This window comes from Homo sapiens, chromosome 5 (genome assembly GCF_000001405.40).
Source record: "Homo sapiens chromosome 5, GRCh38.p14 Primary Assembly".
NCBI classification, from domain to species: Eukaryota; Metazoa; Chordata; class Mammalia; order Primates; family Hominidae; genus Homo; species Homo sapiens.
The window spans coordinates 33,958,827-33,982,802 of NC_000005.10; the positions used below are offsets into that span (position 1 = coordinate 33,958,827).

A 23,976-nucleotide genomic window follows, 5' to 3' on the forward strand; every position below is an offset into this window, starting at 1 on the left:
GTTGATTTCATGTGATCCTCACAGCAGCCTCTGAGTGGATGGGACGACCCCTGTCCTATGCGACTCTTGGAGGGGGAGTCCCAGTCTATCGAAGGGGACATCAAAGAGGTAGATAATCTATCAGGGTGTTATCTATTATCACGTATATACTTTTATTTAGTAAAACCGCACCTTGTTTTGTTCCCCAAATCACCACATTATTTTTTAATTTTCACTTTCACATTATTTGATTACTTTTTCCCTTTTTTTATCTATTATAGAAATTTTGGATGTATTGCAGGATTTAAAAATAGAAAATTAAAGCTTCCTGTGAGCCTATCATCCAGACTTTTCATTTTTTGTATATTTCCTTTCCATTTTTTCCTCTATGTTATGCAGCTTTGTTTTCTCCCAAAAAAAGATGGTTTTGTGCATGTAATGTATATTTTACCTGATATATTTTTAGTAAACCTTCGGAAACATACATTTTTAATGACCGCATGAATGTTATCATATAGATATTCCGTGATTCTTTGGCTGTCCTGCATAAATGCACAGAGGGCTCCAGTCCAACTAGTAATCTTAGAGTTCTGGCTTCTTGGTGAAGGAGAGTCAAAGAGTACAAGTATTCTCCTCCAGGCAGCCTGGTGTAGGGAAAGGGGGTTGAGTCCAGGCATTAGGAGACCTAAAATCTCAAATTTTCTCTACTTGTGTGATTGAGATAAAATGAAGGCTTTATCCCAATGACCTCTTAGTTCCTCGTTGCACTCTTACAGTTATGAAAAACACTGCACTCATCCTAAAATAGGAGCTACTGTTGGAATCAGATGAATAGATTACTCTCTTCAACTGTATTCTCCTATCAAGTGGCATGGCGAGAGGCAGGTTGATGCGCTGTGGCAACTCAACTTGAAGGCAGTCATGTTTATAGAATGAGGCCTCGTTTCAGCAGATCATACTCAACCATTTTGCCAATTCAAACATGAGCAGTGTCGAAGTTTACTTTTGCATTTATTTTGGAAAAATGCTAAGCAAATGAACAGAGTAAACAATACTGGAGGAAGCACTTGATCTCAAGGGAAAACTACTTACACACTTTTATAACTAACAGCTAAGATGTATTGCTTTTATTTATATACATAACTGTATACAAAAAAATGAGGTTTTCTACTGACTATACATAGCAAAAAAAATTCCTTAAAATACCATTAAAATAAAGTACCGTTTTTAAATTTTGTAAACCGCTTAGCTAAATGTAATGTGGTATCCTAGATTGGATCAGAAAAAGGATATTACCCAGGAATAGGATTGCTGGATCAAATCGTAGCTCTACTTTCAGTTCTTTCAGGAATCTCCACACTGTTTTCCATAGTGGTTGTACAAGTTTATATCAACACCAGCAGGGTAGAAGTGTCCCCTGTTCACTGCATCCACGTCAACATCTATTTTTTTTATTATGGACATTCATCTGACATATATATATATATATATATCATAGTTTTTTTATTCACTTGTTGATTGATGGGCATTTAGGTTGGTTCCACGTTTTTGCAATTGCGAATTGTGCTGCTGTAAACGTGTGTGCAGGTATCTTTTATATATATGATGGAATACTACTCAGCCATAAAAGGAATGAATTAATGGCATTTGCAGTGACCTAGATGAGATTGAAGAATATTATTCTAAGTGAAGTAACTCAGGAATGGAAAACCAAACATTGTATGTTCTAACTCATAAGTGGGAGCTAAGCTATGAGGATGCAAAGGCATAAGAATGACACAACAGACGTTGGGGACTCAGGGGGTAAGTGTGGAAAGGGGATGAGGGGAAAAAGACTACAAATTGGGTGCAGTGTGTACTGCTCAGGTGATGGGTGCACCAAAGTCTCACAAATCACCACTAAAGAACTTACTCATGTAACCAAACACCACCTGTTCCCCAATAGCCTATGGAAATACATTTTTTTTAAAAAAAGGGCATTAGTAGAAAAACTGGTGAAATTCAAATAAGTCTGCTGTTTACCTAACAGTATTGAAGCAGTGTTAATTTCTTAATTTTAACAAATGTACATGGTTCTCTATGATGTTAACATAAGAGAAAAGCTGGTGAAGCATACATAGGAACTCTCTCTACTATCTGCAACTTTTTTGTAAATCTAATTAAACTTTGATTAAGAAAGCAAAATAACACATAGGCACACTTTTCTAGGTGACAACTCCATGGGGTAGAACAAGGGCTGTGGTGTTCACTAGTCTTCTGATGCTCAGCACTGGGTCTGGCAGGTGTAATTAATAGCTATTGAATGAATAAAAGAATGCACAAGTGAATGAACCAAGCACACAGTGCAACTCATTCCAAGACATCTTATTATTCACCCAAATAAACCCTCCTGGGTACCTCTTTATTCCCTGTAGTCAGCAGCTGGATTAATATCAAAAACAAAAAACCAACCAAAAAAAGCTAACATCAAGGAGTCCTTTGCCCCACTAGTTTTGATGGACCTCCATCATCCACCTAATAAAATTTTAGTTCCTATGCTGGCATTCAAAAGCTTCCAAAATGTGTCTCCAATTTGCTTTCCTAACTTTATTTCTAAAGTTACAAACTCTGTGATCTATGGTACCACTTATACTTTCTACAAATATGCTTCATGCTTTAAAAAAAATTTTTTATGTCTGTGGCTTTGCTGATGCTCTTCTGTCAGAAGTACTTTTCCCCCAAAATCTCTATTCAAATCCTAACTATCATTCAAGGCACAACTCAGGGGCGATCTCTTCCATAACGCTTTTCTCCATTTATTTAGGCACAATCCTTCCCTCTTTAAAACTAAAAGCAATTGCTATTTTGCCATTTGTGGCCACCTTGGAAATGTGCCGTTTGGGTCACCTACCAGAGAAAACACAGTTGATCGACAGCGCTGAATGCTGCCTCTCTGGATCCACTGTTCCTGTTCCTGCCAAGGAACTCTGTTCCTGTACCTGTTCCTGCCAAAGTTACCCCTTTCCTGGCTGTTCCCAGATAGTGACTAACAAGACGGGGGGTATTAGTGTTAGCCTGTTCCTACAAGAGTTGGGACTCCTCTAAGGAGCAACTTTGGCTGGAGGACTCCCATTTGGCCTGAGTGAAGCTTTCTTGAAACTTCACTGCATCTGAGAGGCTTCCTACCCTATCCTCTTTCCTTTCCTTTCTCCTTTCACAGGTGTTTGACTTGCATCAACATAAGAAGACTTTCCCTTCCTATTTCTGCTTTCTCCACTTTATCTTTCATGCTGTTTTCTCCAATGAATCTCTTACATGTCAAATCCTATCTTGGTGCCTTTTTAAAAGATCTGAACTGATACATTGTTTTATAGCATTTACCATGTTCTATCATGGATTATGAGTCATGGTATAAATGGCATATGCCACGTGTTAGGCTGCAAATTCCTGGGCATAGAGACTGGACATTTGTCAGTTTTATGGTCCCCAAATATCTAGTACAGTGCTTTGCACATACTCAGTACCCCAAGCTGTTTGTTAAATGAATAATGATTATAATGTATTGATATATTTATGTGAAGTTTGAAAAAGTGTCTTTGTATGCTTTATCTTAGTTGAACATCCTAATAATCCTAGAAAATAGACTGGCCAAGCCAACAAAAGAAGTTGACCTCACAGGAAGGTGAGATTCACTGAGCTTGTCTGAAAGTTGTTGGAGTCCAGATTTGTGTTCCCTGTTTGTGCTTAAGGCACTCTAGTGTTCTGCCAGGGTCAAAATAACAAGGCCTAAACCCAACAGCTTATTATGTGGTTGCAAACACTCTAAGTAACTTTACCTGAATTAGCCCCTGCAACCTGCACGAAACCCTTGTAGGTAGATGGAATTATTTTATCATTTAACACAAATGTAAATGCCCAAAGTCATGCAATCCAGAGGTGGTACAGCCAGGATTTAAGCACTGTGCTCTTAATCTTTAGGTTACCCTATAGCAAGTAGCTATTTGTGATTCACTGAATGAATAACACAAGTCAGCAGCTAGAGGAACCAAGATTTGAACTTAAGTCTTCTACAACATTTTGTCAATCAAGAAATCCTCTGTTCTATATCCCTGAGGTTTTGGCATTCAATTTTAGCTTGAAGGAAAATGCAATTATTTCATCAGTGTTGTCCAACAGAACGTTCTACAATGATGGGAATGTCTTACATCTGCACGTCCTATATTTTAGCTAGAAGCCCTATGGGGCCTTTGAGCATTTGAAATGTAGCTAATGCAACTGAAGAAATGAAGTTCTAATTTTATTTTTATTTTAATTTAAATAGCCCCACGGGATTATTAGCTACTATATTGCTCAGCTTAATTCTAGTCTCTTCTCTGATCATTTCATCTGAACATGGTCTCATTTCTCTGGCAGTTAGTTGAGTTTTATTTCAAATTTTAAGCTGATGAATTCACTGTGCAGTTCGCTGAAAATGAACGAAAATATCCAATCAACTCATGACAGGCAAATTCGATATGCCCAACTCAGTCACCAACCCAAGGATGCTACCATTTGGAGGAAAAAATTTCTAATTTATGATCCTAATCTAAGGGGATATTTCTTCTGGCCTAAGGATGATTTTAGGCTTCTCTTGTTGCCTAACCTTTCTCAACTGGCTTCATCTTCCCTGGTTGGATGCTACCTGAGAGGAGTAAGAGACAGGAGGACCAGAGGAAAATGCAGACATTTTTCTTTGAGATATAAAATTTTAATTCCAAGGGATGATAGCTACGGGGGATTTGGGAATTCAGTTAGACCCCATGAAACTCTTCTCGTCAAACAGACAAAACAAACAATTAAAAAAACAACAACAACAACAAAGAGCAAGAATATTTTCCCTTGTAAAGAAAAAATGTTGCATCTTTACCTGTTCAGCATGATTTTTGTTTTTTGCTCCCTGCATTGCCAGCTCTGGATTTACGTAACCATTTTTAACTTTCTCGATAGAACCATACTCGTACATTCCATCTGATGACAATGGAGGGTCCTGAGGGGTTTGCTGTGGGGGAATGCCCTTTGCAACCTCTGTAAGTGGGGCTTCAGAGATACTGCACAGATGAACAGTAAAACACAAAGTGAGCACCAATGCAGAGAAGAAGAACATGACCTGGAATTCTGTACCCAACAGTCTTCCCAGCTCCAGATGGGCCCAGTCTATAGCACCCAAAAGGTAACCCAGGGCACCTCCAAAACCTGGAAAGCAAGAAAAGCTATGTTAGCATATTTAGCAAATTATCGTTCATTTTCCTCATGCATAGACACTCCCCTTCAGTGGGAAAACTCCCTGAAGACAGCAGAGGCAACCTGGATATAATTGGAAAAGCAATACAGCAAGAGGCTGAAAAACACACAGCCAGGCAATGTGGGTTCAAGTTTTGGCTCTAGCATTTACTTGCTGTGATCTTGGGCTTCCTCACCCAGAATATGGAGGTAATAGTAAAAGAGTAACCTACTAGTAGGGTCATGATTTGAAAATAGAAAGTGTTCAGGATGGGGCCAGACACATAGCAAGGGCTTACTAAGTATTGCTACCATCAGAGATACTGTGACCTTTCCAAAGTGCATTCTCTAGACTGCTTTTGAACTTAAATTTCTGACCAGAAAAAGCCCCAAAGAAAACCAATTTCTGGCAGCAATAAAATTAAATGACTTGCAGTTTCTTATTATTAAGCTTCCTGGGATGACGTAAGCTTGCAAAGATGAAACACCCTCAAAAGCTGTCTTTCTTCCTCTATTAGAAGCTCAAGGTACTTGTTCCCAGTTGATAGCTGGGAACAGGAAATAATGAGAACAAAAGTTTAAACATGAATTTTTAAAAATCCTATTATCGTTTCCCAGGACTCCAACCTGAGGTCTTTTTGGTGCTTGTTTTATCTTCTCAGGCTTAAACATTGTGTCACTTGAGGGATACTGAGGAAAGGCTCCTCAAAATCTATTCAATCCTAATTATCTGATATTTAAAATCCCATTATTAGTTATTCCTTTTTTGAGTTTCTGTTTTAAAATACACGTGTTCCTGGTATGGGCAAGAAATTACTCAGCACCAAAGTAGTAACTGTTCCTCAGATGTTCCTTCTGGTGCAGACATCAGTGACTTCTGATAAAGGTGGGGAGATAGCATGGTTGGGGAGGGGGCAGTGGACATATTATGGGATGTCGAGGGAATTAAAGAGTTGAGTGCTGGACACATCCACTACATATGTCACAAACTTATGTAGGACTGATCCTCCTGTCAAAATTCTTTAAACGTCAAACTCCCATCATGCCTACCAACCACAACTTATCTAGCTGAACAGATCAGCTTTCATTTTTGTTTTTGATTTTTTTTGTGTGTGTGTATGAGTGAAGTCTCTATTTTATTTCTCAGATAAGGACAATATCTTCACAAGCTAGAGAATCAAGGAAGAAAATAGAACTAAAGGAGTTCCTCTCTAACCCTAAACATCTAAAGTTACATAAACTCTGACCTCAAGAACACAAACCTGAATGTCAAGTACCATGAATCCTAATTTATTCAAATTAGTGAGAGAGTAGACAATTTTGGTCACTTCATATTCTGGTTAGTTGCAATTTAACATAGAGCCTATTTAAGGAGGACCAACAATCTAATCATTGGATTCCAAAAATAAAGCATCATTAGCATGTCCTGAATGCTGAAGTGTTTTAAGGCAGAATTACAAGAAACTGTGGCCAATGGGGCACAGTGAAGTAAGACATATAGTCTCTGGAAGCAAGAAATTTATGGCCTAGTTATATGTGATGAGCATATACATAAACAGATAAAGGACAGATGATGGTGAAGTGCCCAGGATTTGAGAGAAAGAGAAGGTCCTGAAACAGCCACACTCTACGACTGATTCAGAAGAATGTTCTGGGATTTGTAGTGCCTCTGGTTATTATTAGACAATGACTATTCAATTGTAGAGAGGCAGAAGGTATCAGAAGTCATGCGTCAAGCCAAGCAATCAACCAATAAGAATGTATTAAGTCTGCTCCCCAACCCATTACGACAACCAAAAATGTCTCTAGATATTGCCAAATATCTCTGAGGGAAGGAGGTTGAAAAGTGGCCCCTAGTTTAGAACCCCTGACCTAAGTCAACCCTATGACAGACACATTCCTTTTTCGAAACTATCATTTGTAAACAGATCAAGGGTTTTCACATTGCCATTCAATTTCTTATCACTTATGCCTCTATCTTTCAAATTTTTGTTCAACTGAGCATTACTCATTGCCTCAGTTGGAAGAATATAGAGCAGAAGACCCCTGCTCATTTGAAAGAATTGATATGTGAAATAAATCCTCCACTGTGCAATGGAATGGTAGTTTTATTTTATGGAAAAAATATAAGGATATGCATATAATGATGGATTTGTATTAGAGACTAATTTGGAAAATGGAGTCCTACAATTGGGGAGTTTCCTGATGCAGTTGCATGTCTACTGGTTTACTTTAGTTCAATAAACATGTATCGAACACTAAATATATGTAAATGACTCTACAAACTTCTGGGGATATAAACATAAAAAAGACACAGTTTCCCATTTTTTTCCCCAGAAGGTGGTTTCAAGTGGGAGAAGCACATAATGGGAGAAGCTACTTTCTTTTTTTTTTTTTTTTTTTTTTTTGAGACGGAGTCTCGCTCTGTCGCCCAGGCCGGACTGCGGACTGCAGTGGCGCAATCTCGGCTCACTGCAAGCTCCGCTTCCCGGGTTCACGCCATTCTCCTGCCTCAGCCTCCCAAGTAGCTGGGACTACAGGCGCCCGCCACCGGAGAAGCTACTTTCAAAACAGTAATAAATGATAAGCTAGAACTCAGAGCTGGGTACTCAGAGTACAGAGGAGTTTCAAAGAGTCATTATTGGTGCTAGTTAATAGTAACAAGGTGATGTCGATTATTAGTAAATCTGACAGGATTTCTCTTCATTAGCAATGAAAGTTATAAGAGTTCAATATATCAATGAATTCAAAAATTTTGGATGTAAAAGGAGATTTGAAGAGTTAGATCAGAAAGCTATGAGCTTTAGTGACTCTGTGATGGAAGACCACACAGAGGGAAGAAGAGATTTGGAATCGTGCCTGATTTCCATTCCTATCTTTGTGCTTTCTAGTCACATGCTCTTGGGCACTTCTCTGAGAAACAAGGGTGGTGCTGCCTCCTCATCTGAATTTAGTGAGGATTAATGCAAATAATCCACGTCAAGCCCCAGCACATACCATGGCAGAACCAGACCCAAAACTGAGCTCCCTGCTGACTTCCTATAGTAACCCTAATTCCAAAGCCTCCCCTAGAAGCAGAAGATAGCTACTGCACTGAACTGGCTGAAGGCAGCCTGCCTGGAACTTGCTGAAAGGATTTAGTCATTTTAGGCCCAGTGATTAGAACTAATGGATTATTCTGAGGGCTGAGACCTGGGCTTACCCCTGACCCTATTGTGGCATGTAGCAAGTATCAAGAAAGTAAAATATATCTCAAACTTGGAAAGTGTAAAAATTGCAACTGCTTGACTTTTAAAATATTCCTCTAGAGCAGCCTTCTTAAACTTTAATGTGCACGCAAATCATGTGGGCACCTTGTTAAAATGCAAGTTCTGATTCTGAAGGTCTAAGGTGGAGCCTGAGATTCTGCATTTCTTTCAAGCTCACCACTGACACCAATGCTGCTGGGCCAAGCATCACTCTTTTGAGTGGCCAGGTGACAGCAGTTTCTAACTAACTTCCTTTCTTGAGAAATGGTACTTTGTTGTCACAGGATATTTGACCCACAATTCATAACTGATAAAGCACAGTGATTTGCAGTCCTGTAAAATTAAGGTAGTTTGCAGATATGAATAGGGTTTTTGTTGCCTGGTAGGGAAATTACTCCAAAAGTATTACAGAGGGGTTATACTTTTATAACCCCTTGTCTTGTAGAAGGTTAACCAGGTTCATATTTAGTCTAGCATTTTTTATTTTGCTAGACACACACACACACACACACACACACACACACACACACACACACACATTTCCTGCAAGAACCTGGGGGAAACTCTTCTTATATCTTCCCCATTGGTTCCTTTATTAATGTGTTAATTTAAAACCTTGACATAATCTATAACTTAGAGAATTATTAGCACTCTCTTATCTTAGGGAAGGGGGTAAAAAAAAAAAAAGGGAAGAACTGTCTTATTTGTCCCAAAGCTACTGTTTTGAAGTAGTTGTAGCTGCAAGTTAGAATAGTACAACACGACATGCCAGGAAAGCAAAGTGGGCCACTGGGGGAATTATCCTAACAGAATATTAAGACACTGGAAAAAAATATTTAAACTTTATCTATTTGCTGCCTCAGATATGATGAGGGCCAGTAGAGGGCTGCAGGAATTCATTAAAGGCCTTTCTTTTGCTTCTTCTTCTTAAGCCAAGGGTTTTATCTTCAAAGACAATCTCCCCAACAAAACCTAATTGCGCTATGATAAAGGCTGATAGTTTTACCATTTTACCACCTCCCACACCTACATCCAGACTGTATTTACCTCTGCTGCCAAAATCAGCCTCTGTGAGGCCACTGGAATCAATCACCAGGCTATTGGGCAAGCCATAAGCCAGAGCATTCGGAGGACATCTGCTGCCACATTAGATAACAAGCTTTTACAAAGAAGGGCCAGAAGTGGTCCAGCTGGCCCCTTCCTCACCAAGCCAGGCTGTGTTGTCAAACTCAGCAGAATAAATGGCTTTAGAAGACAGATGTCATATTTCATAACTAATGATGCAACTTGAACAGTGGCCCATACTGGAAGAAGTCCAAATATATAGAAATATGTAAAAAATTGTCTTTAGTCCACAACTATGACAGGTAAAATGGGAAATTGGTAAACTGTCAGTACCAAGGAATCTAAAGGATGAAAGGAAACTCAAGAGAGTCCATCTAAATCAAACTCTGCACCTACCATCTGCCTGTAATTGCCTGCAGGCATCAGGTGTGTGGCTTGGCAAGCTCAGCACCAGGGCTGACACAGCTCAAGTCATGAGAGCTAGCTATGTGCTGTTTGCTACTTTACCTCTGAAGGAGGACAGACTAAAGAACTCCCATCTTCCCATGGGGTTCATGAGAAAGTCGTTCTGATTCTTTTCTACATGTTGAAAAAAATAGCAATGAAAGTGTCAGATTAGGTGCATGCTTCCTACTTATTCCCACCAGGTACATACTAAATCCTGGACAGTTAACATAAGTACCAGCTACTCTCTCTCTCTCTCTCTCTCTGTGTGTGTGTGTGTGTGTGTGTGTGTGTGTGGTGTCCTTGACCCATTTGTTTATCAATAGAAATTGTTAGAGCACCTATCTTCACCAGGAACTGTGCTAAACACTTGAGATACATCAATGAGCAAGACAGACATGACCTCTGCCCTCTTGGAGGCTGAGTACAGAAAAAGCAGTCAAAATGATACATGTGTTGTGTTCCCAATGAAAAGAAAAAAAAAATTTTAAATTAAAATAAAAAAAAAATGATACATATGCTCTGGTCAAAGACCAGCTTGACCAGACAAGCTGATCTGATATTTCTTTAGGTTTACAAAGCAACTTTTCTCTTCAAAGATGCTGAGATAATATATTTAAAATATTGCTCACTGTTTCCATCCACCTACCTCTAATCCTGGCATCCCTTTCTCTCATTGGGCCCTTCTTTCACATTTAAGCTGGGCCAGGATGCCTCGTTGCTTTGAGGACAGTATGTAACAGTAGAGAGCAGAGAAATAAGAATGGTTTGTCTTGCTTCAGAGTTCCGAAAGCCCTTAGGCTGCGAAGGCATCGAGAGTAGATTCATTAGAAAATGTGCTTTAAGAACCAGGCTTCCCAGGCTAGACAGAGCATTCATGATGGGTGCACACATATTGGTAAATCCCTTAGGCGGCGATGGTCTTGCTGCCTGCTTGATGGGCCTAGCTAGAGTTGGAGGGTGGGAAGAGAGGAGCAGAGCCTCCCCTGGAAGGCTTGAGGGATCCAAGAGCAAGAAGATAGGTGCCTCATTTCCTGGTCAGACCCCATGGAGGCAGTAAGAATCCCAGGAAGAAAAGGCTGTGCAGGAGGTCAGGCATTAATTGGCCTCGTTCTGGAGCCATTTATGGCTGTCTTGAGCTTTCTTAAAGTTTACAGAACTAATATTTCCAGTTCTAAGTTGTAATGGCTCAGCACACCGTGAAGCGTTTTGCAAAATGCTTTAACTCCTCCTAGTGGTGACCAGGGAGCACAGGGCACAAATGCTAGAATGAAAAAGCTGCAGACTAGAAGTCATCAGCTGAGTTAGACAGCCCCTGTGAGCCACTGCAAACCTTCTCGGTCCCCACCTGCCTCCCTTGCTCCAGCAGCTGCTGCAGTGACCAAATCTAAGCCAGCTCCGGCCAGCTTTGCACTGGACAGGTGCATCTGGATGGTGCCTAAACTGAGGGAAGACAGAAACAGCTGGGGTTCAGGGCTTACAAAACCCATGGTACCACCCTTAGTCAGTCAGTACAGACTGGATTAATCTTCCCTCATTCATCCCCTACATGGAGAGTTCTTTGGTGCCCTTCCTAAGCCTCCTCAGAGCCAGCTCTGTAATGCTTATTGTTTGGCCTGTTCCTGTCCACCATTTCCTTACTCTTGCTCTCTAGAATCCCTTCCCAAATAAACTATCTGTATACAAACCTCTGGGGTTCAACTTTTAGAGGAATCCAGACTAACTCATGAACCACATCTTTGGTTAGCTGGTTGGCTGACTGGCTTGTTGGTTGGTTGGTTGGTTGGTTGGTTGGTTTTACCCCTAGTCTACCACTAACCAGCTGTGTGACCTTGGGTTAGCCACTTTACCTCTCAACAACACAGCTTAATCATTAATAAAATTAAGATGTTAAAACTGAATATCCATCTCACCAATATTTTTTGAGCACCTTCCATATTCCAAGCACTATTCAAGATAGTGGTGGTCAATGAACAGGAAACACAATGTTCTTGTACTTGAGGAGTTTATGTGATGGTTAGAGAGACAGACAATAAACAATAAACAAATAGCACTTCTCATCATGGTGGACCCTAGAGATAAGATATTTCAGGACTACAGCAAGAAGCTGCCAGAGTGCATGGAGATGGGCACCATCTTAAGGAGCTAAGGGAACAATTCAAAGAATTTACCAAACCGTATGAAAAGTCTGAAAATGATCTGAAGGCCCTAAAAAGTGTTGGGCAGATTGTGAGTAACATGCTTAAACAATTAACTGAAGAAAAATTCATTGTTAAAGCTGCAGATGGACCAAGATGTGTTGGGAGTTGTCGTCGACAGCTTCACAAAAGTAGCTGAAGCCAGGAACAAGAGTTGCTTTGGATAGGGCTACACTAACTATCATGAGATATTTACCAAGAGAGGTGGAGCCACTGATTTATAACATGTCTCATGAGGATCCTGGGATGTTTCTTATTCTGAGATTGGAGGGCTATCAGAATAGATGTGGGAATTGAGGGGTTACCACTTACAAACCCAGTTATTCCAACTTGTAGGAATAATACCTCCAAAAGGCTGTTTGTTATGTGGACCACCATAAACAGGAAAAACACTCTTGGCACACAAGCTATTGCTGGCCAGCTGGACTGCAACTTTTTTCCTTTTTTTTTGTTTTTTGGAGACAGGGTCTCACTCTATTGTCCAGGCTGGAGTGCAGTACTGTGGTCTTGGCTCACTGCAACCTCCATCTCCCAGGCTCAGGTGATCCTTCCACCTCAGCCTCCGGAGTGGCTCAGACCACAGGTGTGCACCACCATGCCCAACTAATTTTTAATTAGTTAATTAATTATTTTTTATTTTTTATTTTGAGACGGAGTCTCATCTGTTGCCCAGGATGGAGTGCAGTGGCGTGATCTTGGTTCACTGTAACCTCCACCTTCTGGGTTCAAGCGATTCTCCTGCCTCAGCCTTCTGAGTAGCTGGGATTACAGGCATGCACCCCCATGCCTGGCTAATTTTTGTGTTTTTAGTACAGACGAGATTTCACCACATTGGCCAGGCTGGTCTCGAACTCCCGACCTCAGGTAATCCACCCACCTTGGCCTCCCAAAGTACTGGGATTACAGGTGAGAGCTACCACACCCAGTTACCCAGCTAATTTTTGTATCTTCTGTAGAGATGGGGTTTCACCATGGTGCCCAGGTCCACCTGCCTTGGCCTCCCACAGTGTTGGGATTACAGGTGTGAGCCACCACACCTGGCCAGGACTGCAATTTCTTAAAGGTTGTATCTAGTTCTATTGTAGACAAGCACATTGGTGAAAGGGCTCATTGGATCAGAGAAATGTTTAATTATGCCAGGGACCATCCACCATGCATCATTTTTATGGATGAATTAGATGCTATTGATGGTTGTTGGTTTTCCAAGGGTACTTCAGCTGACAGAGAGATTCAGAGAACTTTAATGGAGTTACTGAATCAAATGGATGGATTTGATACTCTGCGCAGAGTTAAAATACAACAGACCAAATACACGGGATCTTGCTTTGCTGCATCCAGGAAGATTAGATAGAAAAAAATACATATTGATTTGCCAAATGAACGAGCAAGATTAGACACGTTGAAAATCCATGCAAGTCCCCTTACAAAGTATGGTGAAATTAATTATGGAGTAATTGTGAAGTTTGCAGATGACTTTAATGGAGGAGACCTGAGAAATGCTTGTACTGAAGGAGGTATGTTTGCAATTCATGCTGATCATGGTTTTGCAAAGCAGGAAGGCATCATGAAAGGTTAGAAAGTGGCTGATTCTAAGACGCTAGAGCTTAAATTGAACTATAAACCTGTGTAATTTACTTTTTGATGGCTATATAAAAGACATTGGCTTAATGTGAAAGTGAAGTTAAAGAAAATACTATACGTATTGCCAATGATCTCATTAAAAGTGTATGAATAAAAATATGAGTAACATCATACAAATTAGTATAATAATTCAGTAATCCAACTTTTAGGACTGATATGGAAGTATGTATGTTTGCTAATATCGCATTTATTGCAGCAGAAGTTACAAGAGAAGAATGTGTTGAAACTTTTCGTATTTGCTAGGTGAGCATTTTGTAAAACATTGAAAATGGTTTGAGGTAGTAGGATAAGAAAGCATTTTTGTGACTTATTTTATATCATTTGTTTCCCTCATTCTAAAAAGTTGAATAAAATCTGTTTGATTCAGACCTACAGAAATAAATAAATGAAAAAATAATACAGTGTCAAGTAATGATGGGTACCTCTGTGATGGGAGTCAGGGCTGGGGGTGTGTGTTTGCGATCAGAGTAACAAAGCAAGGAGGCCAAAAGCCAACTGCCAATTGGTACCTGGGAAAGCACTTTCGAGCAGAGGAAACAGGGAGGACAAAGTCCCCCAGATTCCCACTTCTCTAATCTGACTTGGAGATTCTTTGAGAGTTGTGTTGATCCCATTTGAATGGAAAAGAGATGGCAATTTGGAGACTTAATCACCCTAAATTGCATAAATCACCCTTTTTATCCACAAGCTGAAATCCCTGTATCCTTGGTTTCTGCCCTGGCCATATCCTTTCCAAGCTGCCTGAATGAGGAGATGTGAAAGTCTACCATGGGTGGAACTTCAAAGGTTTTGTTTGATGAAACAAAACCACTCATCTAAAGATGAAAAAGAGAAAAGGTTAAAACAGTCTCAAACATGAAGTGACTCCTTTCCTCTGTGTAAAAGGTTTAGTCAAAGAGTCTCTTGTTTCAATTTCGTTTTTAAGACTCTTTTCTTAGCCCTTAATTATTTGCTATTTAGAGCATTTGTTGCATGTTCGCATTTTTTGTGCATACTTTGAAGTATTAAAAGACAAAAGTTAAAAGAAGTTGATATCTGACAAGTTACCCATTCTTCTTCCAAGGATGTAATGGGGCAAGTTTCTCACTGAGTCATTACAAATAAAATGTTTGCAGGCGTAGTGAGGATAGCGGAAATCAAGTAAATATAAACATTTGGCGTTTCATCTCTTTGGGTTAGATGAAATCCTTTAGATGGTTCATTGTGCTGTGCCTGTGACCCTTGCAAGGTGGTTATTAACTAACATGGTGCAGAGATTTGCAAGCCTGTGAAGGAATGAAGAAAGCTCAGAAATGCTGAGGCTACTCTGCAGTGAATAGGAGGAACCAGGAGCTGAACAGGGCTGGCCTTTCCTGTCATGCCTGATCCCAGCCTCCCGCCAAGCAAGAAAGCCCACTGCTAAGAACAGCAAAGTCTTGGGTTCAAGTAGCAGAAATACGCTTGGTTAGACTCCCTGGGCACAAAAGGATTTCCAGTCTTCCCTGGTGAGTACCACTCTGTTAGCTCACTCGGTTCCACAGCCTCAGGTGCACCCAGGAGTGAAGGATCTGTGTGGTGAGAAGATGCGGGTGGACCCACCAAACCTACCATGGCTACCACATATGCCAGGGATGGAGGAGGATAGAGTTGCCTTTAAATATGAAAGATAGAAGCTAGAGGAATTAAATGTCTCCCTAGGAGCCAGTACAGTCTTTTCTCTAGAAAATCCCAAAAAAATGTCAGAAATATGCTGGGAAATATTTTGGTAATGAACCCTTGGATGCTTATTTATGAAGCATTTGGAAATGCTGGAACAGAACCACAGCAGTGAAACAAAAAAAAAAAAAGAATTTCAGTTTACTGGGATGATTGGATTCCTTGGGTGAATAATATTTTGCTGTTGATGAAAAATCAAAATGGGCCCTGACACTGAACATGCCTCTGCCGGAAAACGTTTGCTTCAAGTGGAATGCTGTAGTTATCTCTTTGTCAAGGGCATGTAAATTCAAAAAGTTTGGCATGTATGCAAAGACAGGGCAGAGGGACAAGGCCCTGCTTGTTATTTTCACTCATCTTTTAATGCAGTTTTTCATTCAGAGTGAGGATACCACAGTGGGATCACATATCCCACATTTAACTCACCAGAATTCAACTATTCACACTTTGAACACAGGGAGAAAGAGAGAGATTGCAAGAAAGACAAGAGTAACATTTTAAATAGTATGGGTAATTCTATTAATTTCAGGAGTAAACATTAAAGGAGAGACAAATCTGCATATATATATGTGCAGGTTTGTACACACAAAACAAAGCATATTGTATTTTATGAGTAATCTGAGAGATATTTACGAATAATGTCGATTGTCATTGTCACTGAGTTGGGGACTTTAGAATCTAAGCCTTAAACAAAGTGAGAGACTCCACTGCACTGTCCTAAAAGAGGAAGATGTTTTAAGTTGTTTTTCTAGTTGGGGAAAGAAATTGCTCTGAGCCATCCACACAACCTCTGCTGCTTCCATATGAGCAAAGACATGCACGGGAGACAGTCGGCTGAGGTTCGGGGTTCAGTGCTGGTCATGAGACAAAGTAATTAAATGAGCATATTTGTCTAATTGATGCAATTTGTCGTGTCATTTAAAACCATGAATTATAAACAGGGTTATGTAACCCTCGGGTCTCCTTTTACACAACTAACATGTTTAAGTGCCTGCTAACAGCAAGGCAATGAATTAGAAGCCATGGGGAATTTGCAGGTAAACCCTCATGGGAGAGTTTACGAATCTTGCAGGAGGGGTAGATAAATACCTTGTAAATTACAATACAGGGGAGAGAGTGAACAAATGTGCAGATCAGGTAAAATTGCGAGCAGGCATGTATATCACTCCAAAATATAATTATCCTTTAATTATTTACTCATATATGGGACTTTAAAAGCTCTAATTCATTTTCTTATAATAGTCTTGGTCTTTAATTATTCTTATTAAGCTAACATTCAACTGTGTTTGCATTTTATGTGATAGCTACCAGCTTTGTCTATTCAATTGTAATTGCTCCTTCCTTTTTGCTAATAAAACCCCAATGTGGTTTAGGGAGATACATGACCAACTCCCAGCAAAACCCTCACTTTTCAACCTCCTTAGGCCACTGAATGCTCACATAACCCAATTCTGCCTAATGAGAAACAAGCAGAGCTCTGGGAGAGGGGAGGTTTCTAGGGCAGATTTGCTTTCTTCATTTAAAGAGTGAATGTAGGCTCTTTCCCCATTCCCCCTTCCTTCTCCCTGACCCTCCTCTCCCCTCCTCTTGTCTTGAAACAAACAAGAGCTATGGACCCGTAGCAATTGTCTTGCATCCAGGAGGCAATACATCCTTAAAGCTGCCAAGGAAACATTAAATTGTTGGCTCTGACATCTAGCAGCTCACTGAAAGCCAGCAGACACGTACTCCCAGACTTTTTGTTACATAAGAAAAATAAACATCTGCCTTGAAGCCACTGTTTTGTGGGCGTTAGTGACTTGCAAACAACCCCTTCCTAATCACTCTATTCCCTAAGCATATACCAAGTGCTGATAGGGAAGGGGCCGAGAACACGGGGAAGGGCTGAAGGAAATCAACCTGGATTTTTGGGTGGCAGTACCAGTCCCCCAAAAAGATCATTAAAGTGCATATAACATTGTCTCTCATTCACACATCCCTTATCCTCTCACTCATTCACACGTATGTTACCTCTGGACAGCCCCCTTCCCTCAAGAAGTTTATGGTGTAATGAGTATGATTAGAAATGTATTCAAATAACTAACATGGAAGGTGGAAAATGGCAAAGGCCAAGAAAGAGACATAAGAAAGTAGCCCTTTAGGGCTGGACTGTTTATCTAAGCTGGGAGGTGGTAAAATGTTTTCCTCAGGGTGTGAGCCAACTTTCCCTTTGCCACCAACTGCCCCTCCCTCCAAGGATGGGGTGGAGGTTGGAGGGGTGAGGGGGGTGGGGGAGATTTTTTTCCCCTCCCTGCAGGACAGGGGTGGAGGGATTTTAGAAGATCTTAAAGGGAGCATTCTGCATGAGAACCTGAGAACAGCTAGATTGGAACACAATACTCCAGTTCCATAACTGCTCTTATGAACACAAAAAGACCTTTTGTGTTTTTCTTGTTTATTTGAAAATTCTAGAATATCTTCATTATGCAAAGAAGGAAAACAAAAGGGATTGGGGAGGAGGGAAGAGAGAGAAAAGCATGTGTGCTCCATCCACATCCCATCCAAGCTTCAGGAGCTGGACTCAGCGGCAACAAGGGTAAAAGTGAAAGGGCTCAATTATGGGCTCAATTGTGTCCCTGTACTCCCGATTCCTGTGTTGATACTCTAACCCTCAATGGGACTGTATTTGTCGACAAGGCCTTTAAAGAGGTAATTAAGGTTAAATGAGACTGTAAGTGTGGAGCCCTAATTCAAATCCAATAGGACTGGTGTTCATGTAAGAAAAGGAAGAGACAGTGAGGGTGCAGGTGCACAGAAGAAAGGCCACATGAGGACACAGCAAGAAGGCGGCTGTCTGCCAGCCAGGAAGAGAGGCCTCACCAGAAACCAACCCTGACAGCTTCTTGATCTTGGATTTCCATACTCCAGAACTGTGGGAAAATGAATTTCTGTTTACCTAGTCAGTGACATTCTGGCATGGCAGCCCAAACAGACCATAAAGGCCCCAGGAGGAGATGAAAATTCAGGATGTATGTGTGATCAACTGCAGCCTCAATGGTCTCTTCCTGATGGAGTTATCTACCTCACTGGCACCTTCATGTTCATCTACTCAATAAACTTTTGTGCTTTGATTATTTTGTGGATCTAGTCCCCGACCAAGTTAGAAATTAAGTATACCTGCAGTTTCGAAGAGAATGAGGGCCCTTGTTCCTAGAAAATGAGTGAGCATTTCCAAGCAGCTTTGATCTCCACAGGCAGAAAAGGAGAAAGAAACTTTCGATGTGAGCAAAGACCCAGAACCTGAAGAAGGAAGGGCTGGCTCCTTCATTTGTCCCATTGGTATTTATTTTGAACACCTACAATATGCAAGGCAGTGGTAGAGGAGTGAGGGATGCAGGGAATAAAACAGACCTGCCCGCTGCTCCTGGAAACATGATGAAAAATTATTCAGAGCACAGAGAATGTGGAAGGAGTAATGGGAAGTAAAGCTTGGAGAGTAGGATGGGAACAGATTGTGGCAGCTTTGAACCTCTGTCTAGGAAAATATTATTTACCCATGAGGCACATAGGGAGCCACTGAAGCTCATCAAGCAGGAAAGTGTCCTGATCACGGCTGGCTTTTAAAAATATGAATCTGGAAGCTATCAGTTGGCTCAATTGGAGTGGGAAGAAACTGGAGACTGGAGAACAGTTAAAGGATGAGTACTGCAAACCAATAATAAAATTCTAAGGCCTCCAACTGACTGAGTGGACACCCTTCTTGGCCAAGAGGATCCCAAAGAAACCTGAAAACCTAGTTCAGGCCATGATGAGAAGGGAGGTGTTGGACATACCCTGTTATAACCCTTCCCTTTGGAGTTTAGACAGAATTAACCAGCATTAACATTAAAATAGAGATCTTAAGACTGCCATACAAAACACTCTTCATAGCAATAGGATGCCAAATTCCAACCTGACTCTGGTATACCATCACATGACAGATAACAGACCCTGAAGAAAATTAATGCATTTTACCCAAAATATATTTCTTTGATATATCTTGGAATGGCCCTGCAAAGCCATCTTTTGTGGGGGATTTTTTTTCCTGTAGAGAACCTCCTTCCCTTACCAGTTTTTTTTTAGAGAGCCTGACACCTTCTAAGACTCAAAAAGAGACATTTACCATCTATTCTCTCTGAAACTTGCTATCTGGAGGCCTCATCTACATAACAAGAACCTTGGCTTCCACAATCCTCCTTAACTCAAGCATTTCTTTCTGTTGACTTCAACTCTTTAGGCAAAGCTTAACTCTGAATCAATTGCCAATTGAAAAAGTTTTGACTCTACCTATAACCTGTGAGCCCCCCTCTTCAAGGTGCCCCAACTTTCTGGGCCGAACCAATGTATTCCTTACATTTATTGATTTATATCTTTGCCTGTAACTTCTAGCTCCCTAAAATATATAAAACCAAGCTATAACTCAAACAACTTGGGCAACTGTTCTGAGGACCTCTTGAGGTTGTGTTCCAAGCCATAGTCATTCATATTTGGCTCAGAATAAACTTCTTCAAATATTTTAATTTTTTTCCATCAACAGTACTAAAGCTCAGATGAGATGTACTAAGAGCCTGAATGAAGGTAATATTAAAATTATTGATGTTTGCTGGCACCATACCATATACTAATATCAACAGAAAATCTCAAAAGGGATATATTGTCTGAAACTCATAAAAATACTGTCAATGAAAAGAGTCAAACTCTGTAAAATATTTGAAGAGATATATTCTGAGCCAAATATGAAGACCATGGCCTGTGACGCAGCTCTAGGAGATCCTGAAACATGTGCCCAAGGCAGTAGGGCTACAGCTTGGTTTTATACATTTTAGGGAGACATCAGACATCAATCAATACATGTAAGATGTACATTGGTTTGGTCTGGAAAGGCAGGACAAATCAAAGTGGGGCTCCCAGGTCATAGGAAGATTCAAAGATTTCCTGATTGGCAATTGGTTGAAAGAGTTATCTATAGACTTGGAAGCAATAGAAGAGAGCGTCTGGGTTAAAATAAGGGGTTGTGGCAACCAAGGTTCTTATTATACAGATGAAGCCTCCATGTAGCAGGCTTCAGAGAGAATAGACTGTAAACGTTTCCTATCAGACTTAAAAAGGTGCCAGATACTTTAGTTAATTCTATCCTAAATCAGGAAAATAACTGGAAAGGGAAGAGTGAGGAGTACAGAAGGTAGATTTTCCCCATAAGAGACAGCTTTTCAGGGCCATTTCAAAATATATCAAATAAATGTATATTGGGGTGAAATACTTCTATTTCTTTCAGGGCCTGCTATGTTATCATGTTAATACCTAATTGCTACAAACAGTCTGTTTTGTCAGTTTTAAAGTCTCTGCTTTAATGTTAATGCTGATCAATTGTGCTTGAATTCCAAAGGGACAGAGGTATAATGAGGCATGTCCAACCACCCATTCCCATCATGGCCTAAACTAGTATTTCAGATTTACTTTAGGATGACCTTGGCCGAGAGGAAGGGTCCTTCAGTTAGCTGGGGGTTAGAATTTTAATTCTGGTTTACAATACTATCATGTATTGGCCTTGGAAAAGTTTCCCTAACACAGAGTTTTGTCTTTTAATGTCAAGGCAGCAAAGCATGGGTCTTTTAGCCACATCTAATACAATTGTAAGCTGGGAAGTGGTGGCCACATTGTCCAATGTCCTGTAGATCAATAAACTCTTAATATCGAGTTCAAAAGCCAGAAAGTCTCCCATGACCTTGTAATTAATTTCAACAAATTATAATAAAACAGAAGGAATTGTCAGATTCAAGTTAGGAAAATGAAGTTGGAATCTATTCAATGAGACTTTCCGGCTATGGACTATGGGCAAGTGACTTAATCACCGAACCCCCCTCCTACTCCAATCAGTGGACTTCAGGTAAATATTTAACAACTGGCTTTCCAAGAAAAAAAAAAAAACCATGATTTATAGCTTTGCCAATTTCTAGAGTTTTAATACTGCCATCATGGCCAGTTTCAAGCCAGCAATATGATGTCAACAAGTTCACTGAATTCCTAAAATTTGACAATTGATTCTCAAGAAGCCAGCATGAGCCAGCTGTAAGCACACCACTGCTTTCAAGGCTCAGCTTCCACATCTGAAAAATGGGAATCACACCACTTCCACATGGCCATTGTCAGGATCGAGATAATGTAAGAGAAAATACCTAATACATGGTTATTATCATACATGGGGTATTTGAGAAATGTTTGTTCAGTATTTACTGAGCACCTACTATGCAGCAGACACTTCCAGGAACTGAAGATTCATCAGAGAACAAAACAACAGGTCTGCTCAGCTGGGATTGATGTTCTAAATGGGAGAGACAACCAGAAAGAAAAAAGAGAAGGAGAGAGAGAGACAGATGATAGATAAATAAATAGCCAGTCAGTTAGTCTGGTATTGATAAGCACTAGAAAGAAAAATCAAACCCAATAAGGATGAGGAGAAAGAGGAGTGGTCATACTATGCCAGGTACGGTAGCCAAGAAAGACCTCACTGATGAGAGATATCTGATGAGAAATCTGAGTGGAATAAAGGCATGACTATGGGATTATATGGGGAAGGGTGTCCCAGGCAGGGCAAGAGCTCATGCCAAACCCTGGGGCAGGTATGATGGGCTGGGCTGACCCCAGAGACAGAAGGACGCCAGCGGGGTGGGAGCACCCGAGTGAGGAGACACACGTGGAAAGTGCAGTGGGAAGGGAAGCCAAGAGCAAAGGTGAGGCAGGGGAAGTCTCAAGCCCTGGCCATGTCTTAGGTGCCTTTAAACACCTGGAGACATAGTGGGCAGGGGCCAGTGACAGACGGGGCTGCACTCCTGCCCCTCTGCCTTCCTTACACAGAGGAGGATCTACCAACTGTGCTCCAACGGCCTCACTCCTTCATGTTTTCAACTATTCAAATGTTTGCTCAAATGACAAATATTGGCTCCAGTGGCTTCCATGGGCAGGCAGCAGTCTTAGCTCTAGAGACAGAAACTATGAGCAAAACTTGAAATCTTGCTTTTCATGGACCTACCTGGCCATGGAAGGAGAGAGAATACATCAAAACATAAATAAAGGCATTGGCTGGGCTACAAAGACAATCAAATAAGGTGGGCTGATAGAGTCCCCCTCTTAGATATAAAAATCCTCTTGGGCCAGGATCCTCCTGTCGCCTTATATTTCAATGCCTAGTTCTAGCATAGTCCTAACTGGTGCTCTGAGTAGCATTGCTCTAAACAATTGACCAACAGTAACCAAAGTAGGCTGGCAACAGTCCCAAGAGATCAAGAGAGCTCCCATTTTCCTCCTGGCATGAACTTTTTCAAACCACAAGGTTGAGGAAATGCCAACCTTTTACATAACTAAGAAATTTCTAAGACGTTGAGTTTTTTGTTTGCTTGGTTTGTTTTCTCTTTTTGTTTTTTAAACCTGCCACAAAATCATCTGGGGTCTTTATTAAATAAAATACAAATGTCTGGGCCCCGCCTTAGACTCACTGAATCAGAATAACTGGAGAAGGAGCCCAGGCAACTGTATTTTCAATGACCTTCTAAGGAATGTGGATGCTACATTGCTGATGCTTGAGATCCTCTGCTCTAATGCAAAAGTACAATCCACAAGGCTTCTTTCCATTTCAGTTGTAATTGTCTCCACAAAGCATTCTTAAGAAAGCTCTTCTGTAAACTTCCTTTGCAGAAACTGCAGCACTAGTCACAAGCTGACTGTTCAGAGAAATGCACGGGGAGACAGTGCCCGCATGACGGGAGCAGCCCATCAGCTGACCCGTTCATTCAAAAAACTCCACGTGTAGAGACACTGGATGGCTTTAGTGGAAGTGCCTCATTGTCTGGGGAGCTGAAGGAGAGACTTTCTGGAATATTCCCTACCTGTGAAGAGGGCATGGTAGTGGAGGCCCTTCTCCTTGTCCTGATGGGAGCAGACATCAAATAAGTAGGCTTTGATGGGCCCATCAATGAAGTCGGCAGCAAAATCAAAGAGAACGACACCTATCATGGTGACACTTATGGCCCAAACCAGCTTCCTCCTTGGGTTAGCAATCAAAGCTAAAAGAAAAATAAACATTGGTCTCCTAAATCCTGTTTTAGAATCATCCGCGTTTTGTAATTTCCACCTAAACTTCTTGCCATAAAATCATCTTCCTTGCTTTTATTTTGCTTTTTTCCAAATAAAAATAGCTTTACATTTTTTTTCAGGTTTTAAAAATTATGCAAGCGAATGTCCAGAAAACACAAATCTATGGAGACACAAAGTAAATTAGTGGTTGCTTAGGGCTGGTGCATAGGGGAAAAGTGGACGTGACTATTGATGGTAATGGGTTTATTTTGGGGGTGATGAAAATGTTGTAGAATTAGAGAGTGGTAATGGTTGCACAACATACTAAAGGCACTGAATTGTACACTTTTAATTAGTGAAATTTCTGGTATGTAAAATAT

The 23,976-nt window shown here is 40.7% G+C and overlaps 1 protein-coding gene and 1 pseudogene across 5 annotated transcripts in view, besides 1 other annotated feature; one reads left to right on the forward strand and one right to left on the reverse strand.

Annotated features, from left to right (window-relative positions):
- SLC45A2 (solute carrier family 45 member 2) overlaps positions 1-23,976 on the reverse strand; it is a 40,071-nt gene that overhangs the window by 14,204 nt on the left and 1,891 nt on the right. For 2 of the 5 annotated variants that reach the window (NM_016180.5, NM_001012509.4), the window contains exons 2-3: positions 23,410-23,586; positions 4,865-5,190 (exon numbers count right to left, since the gene is read on the reverse strand). In NM_016180.5, coding sequence (NP_057264.4) covers positions 4,865-5,190; positions 23,410-23,586 — 503 coding nt within the window. Of the gene's footprint in view, positions 1-971; positions 2,275-4,864; positions 5,191-23,409; positions 23,587-23,976 lie in introns of those variants that run through there. The other 3 variants (XM_047417260.1, XM_047417259.1, NM_001297417.4) reach the window with 3 other exon arrangements.
- On the forward strand, positions 12,028-14,102 carry PSMC6P3 (proteasome 26S subunit, ATPase, 6 pseudogene 3; annotated as a pseudogene).
- Positions 19,170-20,062: an enhancer, noted in NCBI's record as "OCT4-NANOG hESC enhancer chr5:33978101-33978993 (GRCh37/hg19 assembly coordinates)". NCBI's record gives its function as "activates a minimal SCP1, AML or CMV promoter by ChIP-STARR-seq in naive H9 embryonic stem cells {active_cell/tissue: H9 hESC(naive)}" and the evidence as "EXISTENCE:reporter gene assay evidence [ECO:0000049][PMID:30033119]".